This window comes from Homo sapiens, chromosome 8 (assembly GCF_000001405.40).
Source record: "Homo sapiens chromosome 8, GRCh38.p14 Primary Assembly".
In the NCBI taxonomy this organism is placed as follows: domain Eukaryota; kingdom Metazoa; phylum Chordata; class Mammalia; order Primates; family Hominidae; genus Homo; species Homo sapiens.
Window position 1 is genome coordinate 101,541,755 of NC_000008.11, and position 23,250 is coordinate 101,565,004.

A 23,250-nucleotide genomic window follows, 5' to 3' on the forward strand; every position below is an offset into this window, starting at 1 on the left:
GGGAAATGCTGAGGACTGTCATGGTCTTTGGGTACTTGAGTCATCATACTCACCTGAAGACATTGCCTTGTTTGTCAATTGCTGCTTTATGCAAGGCTGGCTTGGTTAGGATTGATTGACTCCCACCCATTTCTGTTTCTACTGTAAATTCCCCGTATAGACTCCCTCACTTTCCATGATGGTCTTTGTAGCTTGTAGTTTTTATATCACCTAAATATTGTAGAATTCTGTTGTAGCACAGGATCTACAATAGAGTCCGTCTCATTACTGCTGTTCCATATCATTTTACACAGCATTACCTGAATACACTGTGTTTGCAAAGTAGCTTACATTGCCTTTTACATTGAGACATGGGTTGGTCTATAATTTGCTAGTAATTTCAAGTATAGATTAAACTAGATAAAACAGTTTTCAATAATCATTAGCATATTGATTACATTCAATGTCTTACACATATTTATAATGAGAACTCAGAGAATTAAATGAAACCTGCTCTCTCTTAGGGTTCCATTCTTGCATTCATTAATAAAGAATAATTAGGCCAGGCGTGGTGGCACATGCCTGTAATCCTTGCACTCTGGGAGGCCCAGGCACATGGATCACCTGAGGTCAGGAGTTTGAGAACAGCCGTCTCTACTAAAAATACAAAAATTAGCCAAGCAAGGTGGCAGGTGCCTGTAATCCCACTTACTTGGGAGGCTGAGGCAGAGAATCCTTGAACCTGGGAAGCGGAGGTTTCAGTGAGCCGAGATTGCACCATTGCACTCCAGCCTGGACAACAAGAGTGAAACTCCGTCTCAGAAAAAAAAAAAAAAGAATAAATAAATAAAATTACTTGGCCCCTAGAATGACTGGATACAGAGCTCTGAGTTTGAAGAGGACCAATTGTTTTAGTCAATTTTGTGCTGCTATAACAGAATACCTGACCCTGGGTAGAAATTTATTGGCTCACAATTCTGGAGGCCCAGAAGTCCAGGATCAAGGGGCAGCATCTGACCAAGGACTTCTTGCTGCATCATCTTATGGGGAAAGATGGAAGGGTAAAGAGAGAGTAAGATGGAAAGAGAGCAAGAGGGGGTGAAGCTATTTCAGTCACAATGAACCCACTCCTTTGATAATGGCATTGATCCATTCATGACCTAAACACCTCTTAAAGATGAGTGGGCTCAACACCATGTGGGAGCCCTACCTTCCAATACCATCACAATGTTGACTAAATTTTAACTTAGGTTTTGGAGGTGATGAACATTCAAACCATAATACCAACTTATACTACTGGTACTACTTTTTAAAGACTTATTACTTCTCATAGACAGTAAAAAAATAAATCAGTAGTTGTCACTTTAACTTTAAACTTCTTCCCTTCCTTCTCCCCCATTCTGGGGAAATAAAAATTAATGTTTGTAGTCATGTAATATGTATATTATTAGGGGTAAAAAATTTGCTCTCTCTGAAAATGAACCTCACATTTCTCTTGTTTTTACAGTAATAAAAGACTAGTGGCCTTAGTGCCCATGCCCAGTGACCCTCCATTCAATACCCGAAGAGCCTACACCAGTGAGGATGAAGCCTGGAAGTCATACTTGGAGAATCCCCTGACAGCAGCCACCAAGGCCATGATGAGCATTAATGGTGATGAGGACAGTGCTGCTGCCCTCGGCCTGCTCTATGACTACTACAAGGTAGGTCCCCAGCCTCCACTTTTCTCTTCTTCCTGCTCCAGGACAACCCTTTGCTGGTGGGAAGAAGGAACAGATTGTTTGTCCCAGGCCAGGGAACTAATAGCATTTCCAAAGTCAATATAGAATTCAGCCTCTTCCTGTTCTCCTTGCTCCCTGCTTCCCCATCTACAAAGCTCAACTTTATCACCCATCCAGAGGAAGTACTCATTTTGGGATAATATTTTTTGTGTTCCTTGTTCACATGCATAAATATTATTTGCATATTATTCTTACCATATTACAAATACTTCCTTGTTGCTATGTTTACTTTAGGATTATTATTTTTGCTGAATGAAGTATATTACATTGAGTGGCTTTATTAGTCCATTTTCACACTGCTGATAAAGACATACTGGAGACTGAGAAGAAAAAGCGGTTTAATTGGACTTACAGTTCCACATGGCTGGGGAGGCCTCAGAATCATGGCAGGAAGCAAAAGGCACTCCTTACACGGCAGTGGAAACAGAAAATGAAGAAGATGCAAAAGTGGAAACCCCTGATAAAACCATCAGATCTTGTGAGACTTATTCGCTATCACGAGAACAGTATGGGGGAAACTGCTCCCACAATTCAAATTATCTGCCACAGTGTCCCTCCCACAACACATGGGAATTATGGGAGTACAATTCAAGATGAGATTTGGGTGAGGACACAGAGCCAAACCATATCAGTGGCTGTACCATAATTTAGTTATTGCTCAGTGGTTGAACATTTAGGTTGCCTCTAGATTTTTCTATTTATTAGAAACATTCAGGGTTTCTAGATTTTTCAGTTTTATAAGGAACATTCCAGTGAACACTTTCGTGGAAGACTTTTGCAGGAATTTCAACACCTAATTTTGTTACAACCCTAACTTTCTCCATTTGTTTTGATGAGTAGTAAATTTTTATTTTGAAAAAGTCTTAAGGCAAAATAAATGTAATGCACTTATATTTCAAAAATATAATTGCCATATACTACCTATAAAATAGGAGTATTTCAGGAAATCAAACAAAAACAATGATTTTTCTCAAGCATAAAGAACTATGCCTGGTATGACCTGCTCCTTTTGAATTATTAAAGTATAAAAAGTTGACCAGTATTTACTGAATGAGATTTATTGCCTGCCTTGATTGTAAACACCTTTGGCTGATGCTGGGAATTGGCACAAATGTGAGGATGGCTGTGTTTATTTTGCTGGTTGGGCACAATGAACTCTTATTAACTCTTATTTTAGAATAAGAACTGAATCCCACCTTCCCTTCTCCCTCCATCATGGAAAAACCACAGAGTTCAGCAAAATCATGCAGGAAAGATAATTTCCCTTTTAGTAACCTTTGGTCTTGCTTCCTGTTTCTTTTCTGCTTCCTACTTCCTGTTAACTTCCAGCAGCCTCCACTTTGCAAGCTATTGTCTCCTGTCTCTCCCCTAGAACAGTTCTCATGCTTTCAAAAAATCTCCCACCACCACCTCTGGCATTGCCACCACACCTATTCTTCTGCCAGAGTTTTCTAAAATTACACATTCCTTTCCCACCTTCTTTCCCATTAAAACACTCAGGAGGGATTCCTTCTTGGGGAGATGATTGAAAACAAAGCGAGGCTTTATCTAAGATGAAGAGCAAGGTATGAGTGGCAGGTGCAAGTGACTGACAGGTAGGACCATCCAGGGTATTTTAAATAAGGATATTGCTAACTCAAATAAATGCATCCTTTATAGTTAAGAAGTGCTAGAGAAATATATGAAGGGCTTTCTATTGGTCTAGGCTTTCTCCAGTCTAGGCTGACTTTCCCACTTATCAAGAGAGCCAGCATTGGCAGATTGTGACCACCCTCTTATGAAGGCATAAAACTCCCAGCAGGACTCCTGACATAGCAAGAAGGACCTTAACTTTGGGGGACTTGGGCTCCAGATGAAAGGATGCTTTAAGGCCTAAACTACATTGCATGTAACTAAGGCTATTTTCTCTACAGTGAAGGGGAATTCCTGAAAAAAAAAAAAAAAAAAAAAAAAAAAAAGTCTGAAAACCAAAATGATTTCATGGTAGGCTTTTTATTCTTCTTCTTCTTTTCTGGCTGTGGTTGTTTTATAGTTTTCATTCTTTCTGATTGAGGATCTCATCTGAGAAATGCAAGGATAAATTCTAAATGTTTCAAATTGAAAATTTTCAAAATGTATTGAGGATAGTTGGGAAGCACAGAACTCATCAAATTAGGCTGCTTCGTGTACTGGGCCACTTCTTGAGGGCTTAACTGTTTTTGGTCTCATCCTTAGAAAGAAATTGAAAAGTGATTTTCTTCTATGATGAAAAAATAGTCAAAACTTGACAGTTGTATTGATCTTCAAAATCTATAAATATATCTTTAAAGTGACCCTGATTTGATTATTCAGATCATTACAACTTCTCTTTGTAACATTTTTTTTTTTTTTTTTTTTTTTTTTTTTTGAGATGGAGTCTTGCTCTGTCACCAGGCTGGAGTGCAGTGGCACGATCTTGGCTCACTGCAACCTCCACCTCCCGGGTTCAAGTGATTCTCCTGCCTCAGCCTCCCAAGTAGCTGGGATTACAGGCACACTCTACCATGACCAGCTAATTTTTGTATTTTTAGTAGAGATGGGGTTTCGCCATATTGGCCAGGATGGTCTCGATCTCTTGACCTCGTGATCTGCCCTCCTCAACCTCCCAAAGTGCTGGGATTATAGGCGTAAGCCACCGTGCCCAGCCTGTTTGAAACTTTTATAATGTTAAATTAATATGTCAGTTAATAGTTTTCATAAGGCTTTGAAGAAATATATTGATTATATTTAGGAGAAATATGTTGTTCCTATTCTTTAAAATATAGATTTTATTCTGTTATTGTGAAATGGATATAATTTCATATATCTGTATTTGATGACAATTCTTTTTTTGTGTTAGTGAGAAAGAGAAGCATATCCTGAAACAAACATAATTAGTAATTTTTTTTTTTTTTTTAGACAGAGTCTCGCTCTGTTGCCCAGGCTGGAGTGCAGTGGCATGATCTCAGCTCACTGTAACCTCTGTCTCCCGAGTTCAAACAATTTTCCTGCCTCAGCCACCCAGGTAGCTGGGATTAAGACATGCATCACCGCAACCGGCTAATTTTTGTATATGTATTTTTAGTAGAGACGGGATTTTGCACATGTTGGCCAGGCTGCTCTTGAACTCCTGGCTTCGAGTGATCCACCGGCCTTGACCTTCCAAAGTGCTGGGATTAGGCGTGAGTCACCAAGTCCAGTCCATAATTAGTAATTTATGAAGGCAATATATTTTATTTCCCACAGATGCAGAGGATAATTAAGTATTAGTAAATATGGGTGATTAAGTACTAGTAAATATGGTACCCAGATTACTTGTCCTCTTATGCTAGCATTTAAAGGAAAGTTGAAATATTGCTTTCTGTAACTATTCTGAGATACCAGGTAGGGAGTTTACATAAAACTCAAGTTGCAGCCAAGTCTAGAACTCCTTCTGTTGAATTAATATTTCCAAGACTGTGTGGACTACTAGAGTTACATAGCTTCTTTTATTTCACATGAGCTTTGCTATACTTTTGCTTGAAACATTTTAGTGTTTCTGGAAATAATTGGTCTTATTTTCAAACACTGTATGTTCAAATGATCATTTTGAAGCCCTTTTCAGTTGCCTGGGTGTTCACAGCTTATATATGTTGGTGTTAAAGTTATAACAAAGTTAAATGTCCCTTGAGGATAGACCTTTTTCTGTAGTCAAGTGAAATGTTAATGAAACACAGCAGTCTGTTTTTTTTTTTGGTTTAAATGCGTGTAAACTCTGGGAAGTTAAATTATTGTAAAAATTGCTGCCATGTTATCATTCACATTTTATAGACTTTGTATGCCTCTTCAGAGGATGAATTGATTCTATTTTTGTCAAAGAAACCATTTTTCCTCACTCCTGAAGTTGGAGTATATCACCCCTGTGGGGACAGTCATGGACTCTGTCCACAGGGAGGAGTTCATGAGCTACACGCAGGCACTCCAGAAATGGTGGTCCCTGTCCTGTGAACGTGGCAAAGGCATACCTTTGCATAATACTTCATAAATTTCAAGGTCTTTTCACCTACAGTTGATAACTGTCACCACAGATCATTGCAGTGAAGTCCATCAGGTTTTACATTTTATAGTTCATGCAACTCAGTGGGATTTACCCAAGATCACAGGACAATCCTGTATGTTTCCTAATAGCCATTGTTTTACAATGTCCACCATTTACAAAATGCCCTTTTTTGAATCCATTTAAAAATTTTAAAAGTATGCATTTGGAGCTTAATAAGTTGCTTACTCATAAAGTGGTGTTTATTTTTTAAAATCCAAATATATAGAATCAGTCATAATTTAGAGACTAAAATTCTAGCCCAGTTCTCTATCCAGTTTAAACTACTTACCAGTAATAGCTCCACAGTTGTGCGACCTTTCCATGAATTTCAGGCATGACAGAAAAATGTGACAGATTCAATTAGCCAGATATTTAAAAAATGTTTTGACTTACTTTATGTAACTTTATTTTCCTCTTGAAAGAGCTGGTTTATCATCATCTGGTTCCAGCTGTAGTGAAAAATAGGCTTCCCTGGTCAGTTGGTTTCTATCTGTTCTATTGACCAGTACTGCTGGAAACCAATTTGTTGGTTGATTTGTTTGTCCATCTATCCATCTATCCATCTATCCATCCATCCATCCACCCACCCACACACACACCCACCCAAAAAATATTCACTAAGTAGATATGACCTCCCAGTAATGGGGGTAAATATTGGATATCTAAAGGCAGATGATATTCGGTTGACCACCTCAGAGAGATCACCGACAATCACAGTCCAGGACAAACACATTGCTATAAACCTATAACCATGGTTTATGGAGGTCAATGCTCAAAAAGGGGCATGTTCCAAGAGCAGTGGGTTGACTGACAACCTCCCAGATAATTCACCAGCTTTCCAGAGGAAGCAATGCCTACTCTGCCACAGAGTAGAGGATGATCTGTCACATGCACAGACCAGGACAGAAAGAGAGAGAGACAGAGAGTTGGTGAGGGGAGTTCATAACAAGGGTAAGATGCCTAAGATGATTCCTGGATTAATCAAGGCAGAGAGTACAGAATAAAGGCTCTGAGGAGAACAATAATTAAGAGTTGAGTTTGATGTGCCTGCAGGATGTCCAGGTAGGGACATCTAGGACTCAAGGGAAGAGACCAAGTTCAGAGTTCTCAGTTTATCTAAAGATGGTTTGTAAAGCCAAAGTTTCAAAAAAGAGCATGGTTCAAAGAAGAGCAAACCCGCAGGTTAATAACCACCTTTATGGTATTGTGCCTAGCACCTTAAACCGAGCACAGCTGTCAGCACAGAGCTCACATCAGGGGCTCTTGGCAACAACAGCATTCACTTCCATGAATCTTTGGGAGTCGCTAACATGTTTCAGTGTTTGGAATCCCTATTCTTCTATTTCTTTGGTCCTGCCCTTTCCAGGCCATTTTCATTGATCAATTGATTCTTTCAATAAGTATTTAGTGAGGGCCTACTACATTCCAGGCATTGAGGACATAACCATGTACAAGGTAGGCATAGAGACTGCCATATCATGGACACAGAAAATTAGATGGGACTCAAAGTATGGGCACAAGTTAGCCTGGAGAAGGCATGGGTGGTAGTGTGGGGGTAGGAGGGGTGGGGCATGTTCTAGGCAGAGAGGACTTTGTGTCATGGCTCTTTTATGAGAAGGAGCATATGCATGGTCGTAGATATAGTTGGCCCAAGTGTGAGAAGCAAAAACAGGGGCTGCCTACATTGAGATGGGAGACGTATTTGAGACTACCTACCTGAGAGTAATGGGAAGCACTGATGGGTTTTAAGTATAATAGCAACACGACAAGATCAGACTGCATTTTAAGCAGACCACTCTGAGTCTTCCTAATGGATCCAGAAATAATTCACAGTTATGAAATGAAGGAGAGGAGAGACCAGTTAGCTGATTCAGCAGCCCAAGCAAGGGACCCTGGAGGCTGAGCCTGGAGGCTGGTGTCCAGGGGCAGGGGATGGGTTTCAGAAGCACAGGGGACTTTGTGCCACCTGGTTGGAAGGGGAGAGGGCGAGGGATGCTTGACAGTCCAGAAAAATGTGATGGTGCCATAGCACACAACAAAAGAAGTAAATCATCTGTCCCTGCTTCAGAGGCCTTTCCTCGTCTGGCCTTTGCTCATCTCTGAGGCCACATCTCCCCCAACTCATTCCTCACGTGGGACATGCCTTCCTTGTTCTGTCCTGCCCTCTAACCTTTTTATAAGCAGCCCTGGTGGCTAGAAAGCCTTCTCCATCCACCTGACAAATTCCTACCATGGCTCAGCCCCTCTGGGGAGCTCTGTCCTCTAGGCTTCCAGAGAACCCTGTCGGTAGCACAGTTTTATCTCGTATCATGGGGTATTAAATTTTTAAAACACTATAGGAATAACTATATTTTAGGAAAGAAACTAAGTGCTCTCTAGTGGGGTGGGCGAGTCATAAACTCAGGGTATAGTGGCAGGCAGAGCTGGGGAGGCAGGTCTCCTTTTTTCTATATATGTATAGTTTTCCAGTTTATTAAGTTTTTAATCTCAATGCCAGTGGAATTTCTTTCTCCTTTTTTCCCTCTTTTATTATTTATTTTTATTTTTTTTAATTATTATACTTTAAGTTCTGGGATACATATGCAGGTCTTTTTTTTTTTTAAAAAAATTATCATTTCAACTTTTGTTTTAGATTTGGGGATATGTGTGCAGGCTTGTTACATGGATATTTTGTGTGACACTGAGGTTTGGGATACGACTGTGCCCAGCACCCAGGTAGTGGGCATAGGACCCAAAAGATAGTTTTTCAGCCCTTGCCCTGCATCCCTGCCTTAGTAGTCCCGTGTCTGTTGTTCCCATCTTTATGTCAATGTGAACCCAATGTTTAGCTCCCATTTATAAGTCAGAACACGCGGTATTTGGTTTTCTGTTCCTGCATTTATTTGCTTAGGATTATGGCCTCCAGCTCCACCCATCTTGCTGCAAAGGACATGATTTCATTCTATTTTTACGTCTGTGGGGTCTCCTTAAATACTTACTTCTTCCTTAATGCCTTTAAAAAAATTGTCATAAAAGATATATAACATAAGATTTACCATTTTAACCATTATTAAGTGTCCAGTTCTGTGGCATTAAGTACATTCACACTGTTGTGCAAACATCGCCACCATCTATCTCCAGAGCCTTTTCATTTTCCCAAACAGAAAACTCTGTACTGTTTAAACAATAATTCCTTTCTTATCCTCCTACCTGCTGCTCCTCTCTGTTTTACCTTCTGTCTGTGAATTTGAGTCTTCTGGAGTAACTCATATAAGTGGAATCATATAATATTTGTCCTTTTGTATCTGGCTTAGTTTTTTTAGCATAGTGTCTTCAGGGTCCCTCCATTTTATAGCATGCACCTTAATTTCATTCTCTGTTAAGGCAGCATAGTATTCCGTTGTATGGCCATGTCCCATTTTGTTTTTCCATTCATCTGCTGTTGGACATTTGGGTGGTTTCCTCCTTCTGGCTACTGTGAATAGTGCTGCAATGAACACAGGTGTGTTGAGTATTGAAATTGTATGTTTATCTGTCATCTCCAATAGATGATGAGAACTATCATTTATCTCATTTCTATCCAGTGTTTAGCAATGCCTGGTATAGTATACACTCTGAAAGTTAACATGAATGATTTATAATTGATTTATTTTATTTTTTATTAACAAATATAAAGTACCAGACACTCCAAGTGCTTAGAAAATTAAATTAACTCATTTAATTTTACTAAAAACCTGTGAGATAAGGGACTATTGTTATGCCCATTTTTCAGATGAGGAAAGTGGGACAGAGTTTACTGAGTGGTAGAGATGAGATTTGAACCCAGGCAAGCAGGCTCTAGGTCTGGACTCTTGGTCACTCTGCTCTGTCCCCACACTAAGCCAGGTATCTGGGCTTGTGTACATAGTCAGGTAAGTGGAAATCACAGGAATTGCTAGAGGACTCCAGTAGAGGGATGATTTTCATGAATGTTCTTTCATCTCAAGAAAGCAAAGGCTGCTTTTTGGGTGCAAAGGAGTTTGGCTAGAAGGAAGATCTGGAGATAGAGCAAAAAAAAAGAAAGAAAGAAAGAAAGAAAAATACACAAACAAAAAATTCAATCAACCAACCCAATTGAAGCCTACTTATTCATGTGTTTGAAAACAATGGCAGAGTAAAGTATCTAGGATGCAGTAGACGATTAGATGATGGTCAGAGACAGAGCTGGTGGGATGGCCCTTCTTTCAATGAGCACTTTTTCAATATTTTTCAGGTAATATGTTGGCATTGGGAGTTTTTTTTTTTTGAGACTGAGTCTTGCTCTGTCGCCCAGGCTAGAGTGCAGTGGCGCGATCTCGGCTCACTGCAAGCTCCGCCTCCCAGGTTCACGCCATTCTCTGGCCTCAGCCTCCTGAGTAGCTGGGACTACAGGTGCCTGCCACCACGCCCAGCTAATTTTTTGTATTTTTAGTAGAGACGGGGTTTCACTGTGTTAGCCGGGATGGTCTCTACCTCCTGACCTCGTGATCCGCCCGCCTTGGCCTCCCAAAGGGCATTAGGAGTTTTAAGACAATAATGAAAGTGTATTTAGAAACAAAATTGTGGAAGCAAGTCCACAAGCTGTGTAGGAAGGTGGACAAAGGGGGGCCCAGGTATACTGGATGCTTCCCCCAGCTACTGGCTCAGTATGGCCCGCCCCGTGCCTAAGCACTCCCAACCACGTCAGCACTTAAAGTTCTCATCAGAGGGGAGGGTAGCTCCCTGTTCTTTATGGTGACACTTGTTGTAACTCTATTATGTTTTTGTCTGATCAAAGGCACCCAAGTCTAGATTCACCTCTGCTCACATTGCTCCTCTCCCCTCTTACACTCCCAAGGTGGGGAGCGCATGAGAGGTGCTCGGGTCCAGGGAGAGTCACCTAGGCCAGCAGTGAGCAGCCGAATCATGTCTGTTGTGGCCATATGTTTATCACCAACACTTTGTCTCTGGCTCCATAATCATTGTCACTCAGGCTACTAGCCTTTATCATCTCCTGGTGATAGCAACTTTTCCACCATTTCCTGGAGAACATTCCATTTTGGTTTCTTTGCTTATGCCGGTGTCCAGCTCTGAACATGGTCATGGTTGCCTCTGTGTATGTCTGACTGATGGTTGGTGATGTTTCCAGGTTCCTCGAGACAAGAGGCTGCTGTCTGTAAGCAAAGCAAGTGACAGCCAAGAAGACCAGGAGAAAAGGTAAAGGAATTTGCCTGGCCCCCAGAATAACTCTATGTTTTCTAAAAAACAATGTTATTAAACTGTATGTTTTGTTCTTGAGAGGAGATGGGGTCAAGAAGCTTAGCATCATCTATCTGTCTTTTGAGTCTGGACCAATGCTAGATCTCTCAATGAGGAGAGCAAATTGCATGTTTGGTTGTGCATCCAAAGGGTCTCTCCACCCTCTTCAGATACCCCTCTTCAGATTCCAAGGAGGCTTAAAATCCTGAGTCAGAGGTGAGATGCTGGTAAGATAGCCCATTGCTGGGATTAACTTTTCTGATCAATCCTATGGCATTATAACTGCAATTAGGCCCCTCAGGAAGTGAGACACTTGAAGGATTGCTTTTGATGATCAGGGAAGGGGAAAGAAAGGAGGTTGGGCTCTTTCTCAGCCAAGGGAGGCATAGGTGGAGGCGACTGTAAGGGCTATCGCTGTCAGGGTGAAGGGGCAGGACAGCTGCAGGAGATCACCATGGAACACCCCTTGTCTGCCCTCCTCAATCAAGAACCAGCTGAAAAGCAAGGCACAGTCAGATAAATTAAGATTCAAAAGGGGCAAAAAAATCAAAAGCAGCTTTATTTCTGATGAAGCCAATTGGAGAATGTGACTTGGAATCTGTAGCTTGTAACATTTCAGTCCTGACTTAGGTAAGTGTACCCATTCAGTCCCAGGCATGACTTTGTACCGTTTATGGCACAGCAGGGGTGACTGGAGGGTGAATCCCCTCTCTTTAGCCAGGATGATCCAGAAAAAGAGACAGGACCAGAAGGGACCGAATCACCCTGCTCAGCTACTTCTTTCAAACTCATCCACTTCTTTTTTTTTTTTTTTTTTTTTTTGAGACGGAGTCTCGCTCTGTCACCAGGCTGGAGTGTAGTGGCACCATCTTGGCTCACTGTAATCTCCGCCTCCCAGGTTCAAGCTATTTTCCTGCCTCAGCATCCTGAGTAGCTGGGACTGCAAGTGCGCACCACCATGCCAGGCTAATTTTTTGTATTTTGGTAGAGACAGAGTTTCACTATATTGGCCAGGATGGGCTCTATCTCCTGACCTTGTGATCTGCCCGCCTCAGCCTCCCAAAGTGCTGGGATTACAGGTGTGGGCCACCGCACCTGGCCCAAACTCACCCACTTCTTTCAAACTCACCCATCAATAAATCTCTTCCCCTGCAGTGGGATGGAGAGAAGCCATAGTGTTTTTCTATTGGAGGTTCTTCCATATGGAAGTAAAATCCCCTACTAGCACATGTGTCAGAATCTGACCTGGCCTTGATAGGAACTGCTTGTGACATTACAGTCTTCTGTGATTAGCAGCAGGGGCCTCTCCACCAACCAGCAGCCATATGCTGTGCAGCATCTCCAGGGCGCAACCCCAGCAGAACATGAAGGCTGCCTGCATCTGAGTCACTGTTCCATTAGGGATCTCCTGAAGCTCCACACTGCCCTGGAGTCCTGGGACCTCGCTGGAAGAAGAGGCTGACACTCTTCAGGCCCTAAAACTTTTCCTTGACCCAGCCAGTTTTATTGAGTTAAACTTGTGCTATCTGCTTAGTCCTGTGCCAGAATTATAGCAGGATCAGGGAAAAACAAGTTTAAGCCATGTGCTCTGTCTACCTTTCACATCACAGACAAGTGAGTATCTCTTAGGACAACATTACAAAGCAACAGCTGCTCATTGTATTTTAATGGTTACTTTTGTGATTTTCATAGAGCACTTTAAAAAAAAACTGCAGTGAAGTATAGACTAAACTACCTTATATAGATTAATTATGACTTAGAGTTTTCATTGAATATAATTTGGAAGGATGTCATTGTGATCTGCAGCATATTCATGAATTAAGTTGCTATATGTTAATATAGTATCATTACAACTGTTTGTATACAGAAGTTGCTACCTGGAAAAATAACAGAATCTCAATGACATGATCCGAATTTTCTAAAAAGTATGTTTAACACACCATTATTATCATTGCATTTTTCTTGTATTATAATATTTGGTTCAATTTTAAATTATATTGCAGGTAATTTCTGTCTCACAATAATTCTTAGTTTTAATTATTCATTTTTTAGATGTATTTGTGAAGTTCTCTGGTATTAGCTTCAAAAGCTAAAACTGTTTAACAGAGGCATAGTTACACATTTTAGGTTGGTGCTGAATCTGTTATTTTCTGGTGGTATGATAACAATATTCAACTAGATTTATACAATTCCATATCTTGCTTATTTGTTTATTAGGACACCAAATCCAAAAAATATTTTGACTTGTATTCTTTCTTTAGAATTCCTATGTTTTGCATGAATTAAAGAATTAAGAAACTTTGCCCCAAATGGACTCTAACTATACAGAAGTTGGTTAACTTTAAATATTTTGGCAAAGCCAATGAGACTGTGTGTGTGCAAAGCCTGGGGTGGAAACTGGGTAACAACTTTGTAGCCAATAAATGTAGACCAATTTATGTACTCCTAACCTGTAGGGGCTTATCCCCAAGTATTAATGGTTATTTCTTCACTCAAGGATCTGGGCTGACACGAGTTCGGGAAATCCTGGGTTTTGACTAAACAGGTGAAGGAATGCTGGAACCTTTACTGGGTTCATGATGTTTGCAACCCAGTCACGGTGGTCTCGTTATGGCAATTTTGTTTGTTTTTTATTACTGATTTCATGATGGACTCTTTTTTTGTGTGTATGTGAGGAATATCTATTAACATTCCATGCAATGTTTAAACAATGAGGTTTAGGACATGGTAATGTAAATGGGTGGTCTGGGTTTTGGCATCCTCCAACTAGCTGGATTCAGATGAAACATAAATTCTAAATTTTCACTCTTTCTTATATACAGGTTCACTCTATTGATTTGATCACGAAATCAGGTCATTACTTAAGGCTAGAAAGTGTGCAGACTTGTGATTTTACTCCTTAGGAAATTATTTTCTAGACTTATTTCTTCTACACATAAAGTTTTAGATATCTTAAATATTTTTCTATTTGCTGTGTTCATGTGGAGAAATTCTTTTTGCAAGTTTCACTTTGAAGTTTCATCTGAAAAATCAAAGCTGAAAATATCAAGTCCTGCTTGGTACTTAGGCAAGCTCAAAGGCTAATGGGCTTCCTTCTTTACACACAGGAGCCAGAAGAGCCCAGTTCTTGGAAGAACATTTTTTTTTTGAGATGGGGTTTTGCCCTTGTTGCCCAGGCTAGAATACAATGGCATGATCTCAGCTCACTGCAACCTCCGATCCCGGCAGGTTCAAGTGATTCTCCTGCCTCAGCCTCCTGAGTAGCTGGGATTACATGCATGTGCCACCACGCCTGGCTAATTTTGTATTTTTAGTAGAGATGGCGTTTCTCCATGGTGGTCAGGCTAGTCTCGAACTCCCGACCTCAGGTGATCCACCCACCTCGGCCTCCCAAAGTGCTGGGATTACAGGTGTGAGCCACCAAGCCCGGCCTCAGAAGAGCAAATTTTAAGAGAATAGCCCTCACAATGAGAGATGCCACAAAGCCCCAGAAAGCACATGCTAGATAAAAACAGAAACAAACAAACAACGCAGGCATCAGAGAGGGGGCAAAAGATGTATTTTCTCTCCACATTACTCAGAAGAATCCGTAAATTAGTGAGAGGTGGCCCCAAAATTGCACTGACCAGAGGGACTTGGCTAATAAAATCATTTTGCTGTCAACAATAATTTTCCATTAATGAGTTCTTATTTGTTTCTGCTCTCTCCCAGACTTCTTTAGTATAGATGAAAGTATTTTATTCTAGTCTGGCAAGAATTAATATTCTACATCCTCTCCTTTCTCTCTGTACCACCCAGGAGGTCTGAGATCTGGGAGATCTTGTTTTACATAAGCCAAGCTACACCACTTCCTTAAGCCCCCAAAGGAATTCAGTGCTAAGGACGTCAGTGAGCTCATGTTCTCTCTCAATTTGGTGAAAATACTTGAATGATAAATTCTCATTATTTTATTTCTCCTTTAAGGTGCCCACAGAATGGTAAAAAATATCCTCCCCACTCCCTAGTCCTTCAAATTACCATGTTTGTCCTAGTCCTTCAAATTACCATGTTTGTCCTCCTCCTGCTTTTTTCTTTTTGTGTTTTAAAACTAACTTTTTGGTAAAAATTTTCAAACACGTACAGAAGTACAGAGAATAGTGTAATAAACCCCCCAAATACCCATCCCATTCTCCAGTTCAGCAATGATAAATTTTTGCCACTGCTTAATATCTGCTTGATACTGACCTTTTCTCTCTTTCCTTTTCTTTTTTTTTTCAGATTGCAATAGTATTTAAATCCCTGTCATGTCATCATATTAGTTAACCTCTAACTAATTCTGATTTGTGTGTCTAAAAAATAAAAAAGGACATTTTATTACATAAGCTCAAAATCATTATCACCCCTAACTGAATTAACAATACTTTTTTTTTTTTTTTTTTGAGACAGAGTCTCGCTCTGTCCCCCAGGTTGGATTGCAGTGGTGTGATCTCGACTCACTGCAACCTCTGCCTCCTGGGTTCAAGTGATTCTCCCACCTCAGCCTCCCGAGTAGCTGGGACTACAGGCGCATGCCACTGTGCCTGGCTAATTTTGTGTTTTTAGTAGAGATGGGGTTTCACCATTTTGGCCAGGCTGGTCTGGAACTCCTGACCACAGGTGATTCGCCTGCCTTGGGCTCCCAAAGTTCTGGGATTACAGGCGTGAGTCACCGCACCTGACAACAATACTTCCTTAATATCGCCAAATCCCAGTCCATATTCAGTTGTCTCAAAATTCCCATTGCCTGATAATTGCCTTTTTGGTTTGTTCAGGTCAAGATCCAAACAAGAGCTGCTTCTCATACTTGATTTTTATGACTTTTAAGTCTCTTTTAATCTAGAACTTCTTCCACCCTTCCTCCTTTTTTCATGCCTTTGACTTGTTGACAAATTTAGGTCAGTAGGATGTGCTGCATTCTGGTTTGTCTGATCGCTTCTTTTTGATGTTGTTTAAGTCATTCTTTGTGTTCCTGTATTTCCTAAGAGGTGAAAGTTAGATATGAAGGTTTGATTAGATTTAGGGTTAGGTTTTGTTTTGTTTTGAGACAGTTTCATTCTTGTTGTCCAGTCTGGAGTGCAATGGCGCCATCTCGACTCACCACAACCTCTGCCTCCCGGGTTCAAGTGATTCTCCTGCCTCAGCCTCCCGAGTAGCTGGGATTACAGGCATGCGCCACCACTCCTGGCTAATTTTTTGTATTTTTTTGTTAGAGACGGGGTTTCACCATGTTAGCCAGGCTGGTCTTGAACTGACCTCAGGTGATCCATCCGCCTTGGCCTCCCAAAGTACTGGGATTACAGGCATGAGGCACCGCGCCTGGCCTCGTTTTGTTTTTGTTTTTTACAGTGAGACTGAGTGCTTCAGGTTGCATGATACCAGGGGGCGCATGGCTCACTCGTGGTCCTACTTCTAGTGACGCAAGGATCCCATTGCGTTTCGTTGTGAAGTTTGCCAGCCCCCTGTCCCTTAATGGCATTAACATCCAATGATTATTGCCTGCATTGGTTATTCTATTAGGCGTTGCCGAATGGTGATTTTTCTAATTCTATCATGTTGCGGGGGGTTTCAACACACAGAAACTGCCTTGGCACCAGTGAAGCCCAGAGTAATTTGAGTGGAGGAGAAAACCGAGTGCAAGTCCTAAAGACTGTTCCAGTGAACCTTTCCCTAAATCAAGATCACCTGGAGAATTCCAAGCGGGAACAGTACAGCATCAGCTTCCCCGAGAGCTCTGCCATCATCCCGGTGTCGGGAATCACGGTGGTGAAAGCTGAAGATTTCACACCAGTTTTCATGGCCCCACCTGTGCACTATCCCCGGGGAGATGGGGAAGAGCAACGAGTGGTTATCTTTGAACAGACTCAGTATGACGTGCCCTCGCTGGCCACCCACAGCGCCTATCTCAAAGACGACCAGCGCAGCACTCCGGACAGCACATACAGCGAGAGCTTCAAGGACGCAGCCACAGAGGTGAGTCCCAGGCTCCATCGACGGCCAGAACCCAAACCCAGAGCCCCTAGCTAATTTTTTTCTATTTCCTTTCAAAGTGTGATAAATGAATTAAACAGCAAGTTTTAGCTTCAATTAGTTTTTTAAAAGATGTGTTTGTTGGTAGTCTGGCATTCTTTCTAAACAGGTATTAATAAACCTGTCGATGTGTATGTGTATGGAGGAATATTTCTATTTTTCTTGGTTCTTAGATGATGGATTTCTTTGTTTTCATTTTAGTCTTAAGACTAAATATTTATGAGAAATTAAGAGATGTTTGTGTGGAAACTTCTGCTTTGTAAAGTTTTCACCTTGATCTTTTCTAGTTTGTAACCTTCCAAATGGTAGGTAGCTAAAGGTAGGGCTTGTCCATTCTTTTTTAAAAAACAATATAACTTTGGCTGGACGCGGTGGCTCATGCCTGTAATCCCAGCACTTTGGGAGGCCGAAGTGCGTGGATCGAGGCCAGGAGTTCAAGACCAGCCTGGCCAACATGGTGAACTCCTGTCTCTACTAAAAATACAAAAAAAAAAAAAAAAAAAAAAAAAAATTAGCCAGGCCTGGTGGCAGGCACCTGTAATTCCAGATACTTGGGAGGCTGAGGCGGGAGAATCGCTTCAACCCGGGAGGCGGAGGTTGCAGTGAGCCGAGATCATGCCACTGCACTCCAGCCTGGGTGACAAGAACGAAACTCCATCTCAAAACAAAGCAAAACAAACCAATAAAACTTTAAAAAACCTTGTCTGATGGAATACTCAAGAAGGAGAATTTGCGTTATCAATAATCAAGTGTGTGTATGTGTGCATTCTTTCTACTTTACAAATAGAGAATATGTATTCTTCTCAGGAGCTCATAGGACTAACTTTGCTTGTTTATTTTAAATTCAGAAGTTCTAAGTGCACAGTTGAGAATTTTGGTAATTGTATACAATTGTGAAACCAACATCAGAATCTAGGTATAGAAAGTTCCCTTGCCCTGAAAATTTCCTTGAAGCTCTTTGCATTTGAAGCCTTCCCTGCTCACCTTGCATTTGGCGAGCGTGGATCTGCCTACTGTCACTATAGTTTTACCTTATCTAAAATTTCATGTAAATGAAGTGATAGAGGATATAGTCTCCTATGTTGCCTTTTATTGCTTAGCATAGTTTTGAGACTCATTTATGTTCTTGCTTTTTTGTTTGTTTGTTTGTTTTTGAGGTGGAGTCTCACTGTGTGGCCCAGGCTGGAGTGCAGTGGTGAGATCTTGGCTCACTGCAACCTCTGCCTCCCCGGTTCAAGCGATTCTCCTGCCTCAGCCTCCCGAGTAGCTGGGATTACAGGTGTGCACCACCATGCCTGGCTAAATTTTGTGTGTGTGTGTGTGTGTGTGTGTGTGTTTTTAGTAGAGACAGGGTTTCACCATGTTGTCAGGCTGGTCTTGAACTCCTGACCTCAGGTGATCCGCCTGCTTCGGCCTCCCGAAGTGCTGGGATAGTGGTGTGAGCCACTACGCCCAGCCTTGTTGCTTGTTTTAGTAGTTGTTTTTTAAAGTTGCTGAGTAGTATTTCATAGTGAGTGTATACCACTATAGCTAGTCACTAGTTGATGGACATTTGGTTGCTTCCAGCTTTTGGCTATTATGAAAAATGCTGCTGTGGACATTCCTGTTTATATTTCAACATGGACATATGCTTTCATTTCTCTCGGGTAAATACCTAGAGCTGGAATTGCTAGGCCATGTGGCTCATGTATGTTTAACTTCATAAAGTACTACCACACGGTGCTTCAAAGTGGCTATACCATTTTGTTCCTACCAGCAACGTATGAGGATCCCTGTTTTCCACACCCTTGCCAAAATTTGGTAACTTTTAAACTTCAGCTCTTTTAGTGGATATGTGATGGTGTCTCATTGTGCTTTGAATTTGCATTTCTTTATGTGTAGTGAGGTTGAACATCATTTCATGTACTTATTTGGCCCTTCCTATAACTTCTTTTGTGAAGTGTCTATTCAAATTATTTGTCCAATTTTTAAATTGGGTTTTCTTCCTTTTATTAAGTTGTAAGAGTTCTTTATATAATGTGAATATAGGCCCTTCATTAGTCACATATTTTGCAGTCCATTAGCCTTTTTGTTTTTTTAACTATATCTTTCCATGAGCGACGGCATTTAATCTGATTAAGTCTACTTTATTAATGTTGTCTTTTATAGTTTATGCATTTGTTATATCATTTAAGAAATCTTTCCCTAACCCAATGTCACAAACTTTTTTTGTTTGTTTTTTGTTTTTCTTTAGATGTTTATTAGTTTCATGTCTTTCATGTAGGTTTCTGATTCATTTCGAAGTAATTTTTTTTTTTTTACTTTTTAAATGGTTTTATGTGCAAATAATGAACAGATGTTGTACCTATAAATTCTACTTTCCAAAAACAGGAGCTTTTTAAAAGAAAACCACATAATAACTTTTAAAAGGCACTGGGATTCCTCTGCTTCTAGATCATTGCTAGGCTAGAAAAATAAAGTTTGTTCTACCAGGAATCACAAGTTAGAACTAAGCATTCTTCAAAGTGGAAATTCTAGACTATAGTGTCATTCCAGGCAAAGATTATTCATTTCTCATCCCCAACATCCACAACTACCTATCAGAAGGGTTAAACCAGGTCAAAACAGTCCAGCATAATTAGGCTTCATCAAACAATGTCATTATGCTCTTCTAAGATGCAAATAAACCAAGCAGGAAATACTAAAATCAAAATAATATTTGACACTGTCATACAAATTGTTAGTTCCTTGTTGTATCCCCCTTCTATAACATTAATAAAGGGAACATTTTACTGCAAAGAATATTTTATTTTATACATCACTAGCCATGAATTTTTGCCATTAGTTATTGTACAAATGCTGTCTAGTGCCATTATCCAAATGGCATAACCATTTTACATCCACAATTCACTTCTATAGTTTTAAGTAGAATTTTCATGATTTATGTAAGTACATCTATCAGTAAAGATTTAACACTGAGATGCAATCTAACATCTGTAATATCTGATGTTTTGTAGATGGCAATGTAGGAAAGATATATTTTAATCACTTTTCATTTAAGTGACCTTATGTAAAAAATAATAATTTAGCAGTTCCAAGTCTCCAAAGGGCATTTTCAAATGTACATAAAAGAAATGGTTACAGAGATTTTTAAGAAGCATCTTCCATGTCCACATCCTCTTGTAACTGTTGTACCATTTTCTCTTCCAACTACTTCCCTTTGCCTGCAAGGGGGGCTCAGATAAGATGGATGTTTTGCTTTACTTCTTTGATATCCTGAACTTTTGTAGCTCTTTATTTTTCTTCGATCTGTTCATTATAAATTTAGCTTGGCGTTTCTGTTTGATTTCTTCAACTCTCTTCATTGAATCAATACTTTTATTCCATAGCTCTCACTGGTATTCGATAGGTTCATTTCTACATTTTTCAAATTCAAATGAATTATACGCCGTAAGCCCTTTACCAGCTGCTTTCAGGAATGCTTTGGTTCACCTAGCTTTGGAGGATTGTGCTTCTTTTTAAAGTTTTTATGACATTTAGATTTGCAAAATCTGAACACCTTGCAATTATTGTGGACAAACGTCATGCCGTGGCCAGGGTAGATGGGCCCTGAACAAATATAACACTTCTCAATATGCATATTGAACCCGTGTGGGTCCCCACCAACCAAACACCAAGCTTGAGAGGTGATGTAATTTTTATATATGGTGTGAGGTAAGGATTGAGACCCTTTTCTCCATACTGATATCCAGCCATACTGGTTTCGTTGTGGCACCATTTGTTAAAAAGATGATCTTGTATTCATTGAATTGCCTTGGGATCTTGGTAAAACAGCAATTTGTGATATAATTGTTGGTACCTTTTCCAACTTTTGATGTAGAATATGTAATGTGTATTTTTATTAGCTCAGATCAGCTTCTTCACTGTTTAGGAGCACTGCCTCTGCATTCAAGATGGGGGTCATTGGTTCTCTACTTTTCAGCCCACCTAGGCCAATAAAAGACAATGGCAGAAGGAGAGAATGTGTGGTTTTCCAGTTTCCTAAAGAGAAGTGAGTGTAGTGGCAGCATGATAATATCTTTAGCCTGCTGCCTATTTAATTTCCATTGGGAAAAATGCAGCTGCCTGAGCTTGAGATTTCATCTTTAAGTAATAATATTTGAAAATAATGAATATTTGATGGGTACTCACTATGTGCTGGGCATCATTCTAAGGATATATAAGCCTCACAAAAGCCCTATGTGGTAGGTACTATTATTGTCATCTCTATATTCTAAATGAGGAAACTGAGGGATAGAGAGCATAAGTATGCTCATGGTTATTTAGCAGTAAGTGGGAGGGATAGGACTCAACCTAAGCTGTCTGGCTTCAGGACCTAAATCCTTAACCATATGACTACACACTCAGAGAAGCCTGGGGCCTTCTAATTCTCAATAGTTCCATTGCTTAAGACAGTGATTCACCAAAATCTTTTTAAAAACATTTGACTGTCCTTGGTCCATCTCAGATTTTTTTTTTTTAATCTTTCAGGTGAGCAAAGAGTACAAAAGGTTGATGAGCAGGGACTGGCTCTCTGCAAAGTTGCAGAGAGCAACTGTTGTATACTAGGACATAGAAGTTGCACTAGCAGCCCTGCCACTCCTGGCACCAGTCATTTCTGAGTGCCTGCTGTATTCTGTGGAATCAGGGAGTGATGAAAGTGACATATGATAAATTCCTTGTCCTTAAGAGGCTGTCATATTTCTTGGGTTCTGGTAGCTTTACAATCAAACTTTCAATGCTCTTGAAATTTAAAAAATGGTCTTAAAATTATCTTTCTTAGCTTCCTGCATCATATTGCTTAAAATAGTTAGCAAACTTATTTTTTTTTTGTTTTTTTTTGTTTTTTTGTTTTTAAACTGAATGAAGGATCTTGTAGAGTCTTTGGTATTGTTGATTATTTGATTTGCTCTTAAGTAGTGAGGGGTGCTTCTGTAGAAGAAAATAACTGAAATTATCACTCCATGATCCCATGTGAGGTACATGTTTTTTCACCAAAAGATTGCCACTGATGTATTTTCTCACACAGTGTAGAAATATTCCATTAGTCACAGAAGAGTGTATGGATGTGGTCCAATGTCAACGGAATCATCATGCTATTTGGGGGATGTGTTATCAGTTATGTTTGTTGTTTGTATTGTAGATAAAGAGGCTTGTGAAAGGAAGCTATTGTATTTTGGGCTTTATTTTGAAGTAGATGAGAAAGTAAAGAAACTTACCAGAAACGAAATATAAAGACTATTCCCACTGATTTTGGTTGAGCTGCTGTCCTTGTCTTGGAAATCAGTGTTTACATGGCATGTTGTATTTCAGCCTGGTGTAAATTAAATTGAATATCCTACTATGATCTTTAGCTATTTCATTGTCAACTAGTTATAAGATTAAGTGATTTCAGAGTAATTTCACCAAGAAAATTTCATTAAGGAAAATTTGTCTAAACTCACTTATTCTAGGCAAACTATTAAAATATCTAGAACCCGGGTTGAATAATCAAATTTATTTTGCCATTTGAGACCAATTCTTCTGTGTGTATGTGCACGTGCATGTGTGCACAGTGGTAGCAGGGAAGGGAGTAGTTTGCTTTAACTCAGGCTGGGATTTTTGAAAAGACAGTGGTAGCATTAAAAAGTGCTTTAGACTGGGAGTGGTGGCTTGTGCCTGTAATCCCAGCACTTTGGGAGGCAGAGGCGGGAGGATCATTTGAGCCCATGAGTTCAAGACTAGCCTGGGCAACATAGTGAGACCCTGTCTCTACAAAAATACAAAATAAAAAAATTAGCTAGGTGTGGTGGCATGCACCTGTAGTCCGAGCTGCTTGGGAGGCTGAGGCGGGAGGATTGCTTCAGTCCAGGAAGTTCAGGCTGCAGGAAGCTATGATCATGCCACTGCACTCCAACTTGGGTGACAGAGCAAGGCCCTGTCTCCAAAAAAAAAAAAAAAAAACCACTTTAATGGATGAATTTTAGCTAATTTGATCTATATTTTATTCCACATCCTCTTTGTAATAACATTTGGCAAATATGTGTTGATTTATACTGGGTATTAGGCACTGTGGTGATGTGGAAGCTTAGGGCAAAATGCATACTGGTTTCTGCCTTCTAGAAGCTTACAATCTGT

At 40.2% G+C, this 23,250-nt stretch overlaps 1 protein-coding gene and 1 pseudogene across 4 annotated transcripts in view; one reads left to right on the plus strand and one right to left on the minus strand.

Moving 5' to 3' along the window:
• The window catches only part of GRHL2 (grainyhead like transcription factor 2), a 188,762-nt gene that overhangs the window by 49,316 nt on the left and 116,196 nt on the right, over positions 1-23,250 (plus strand). For all 4 annotated transcript variants that reach the window (NM_001440447.1, NM_001330593.2, NM_024915.4 and 1 more), the window contains exons 2-4: positions 1,487-1,682; positions 10,961-11,028; positions 16,665-17,058. In NM_001440447.1, the coding sequence (NP_001427376.1) occupies positions 1,487-1,682; positions 10,961-11,028; positions 16,665-17,058 (658 nt within the window). The remainder of the gene's footprint in view (positions 1-1,486; positions 1,683-10,960; positions 11,029-16,664; positions 17,059-23,250) is intronic.
• LOC124901995 (probable ribosome biogenesis protein RLP24) lies at positions 20,171-20,734 on the minus strand (annotated as a pseudogene).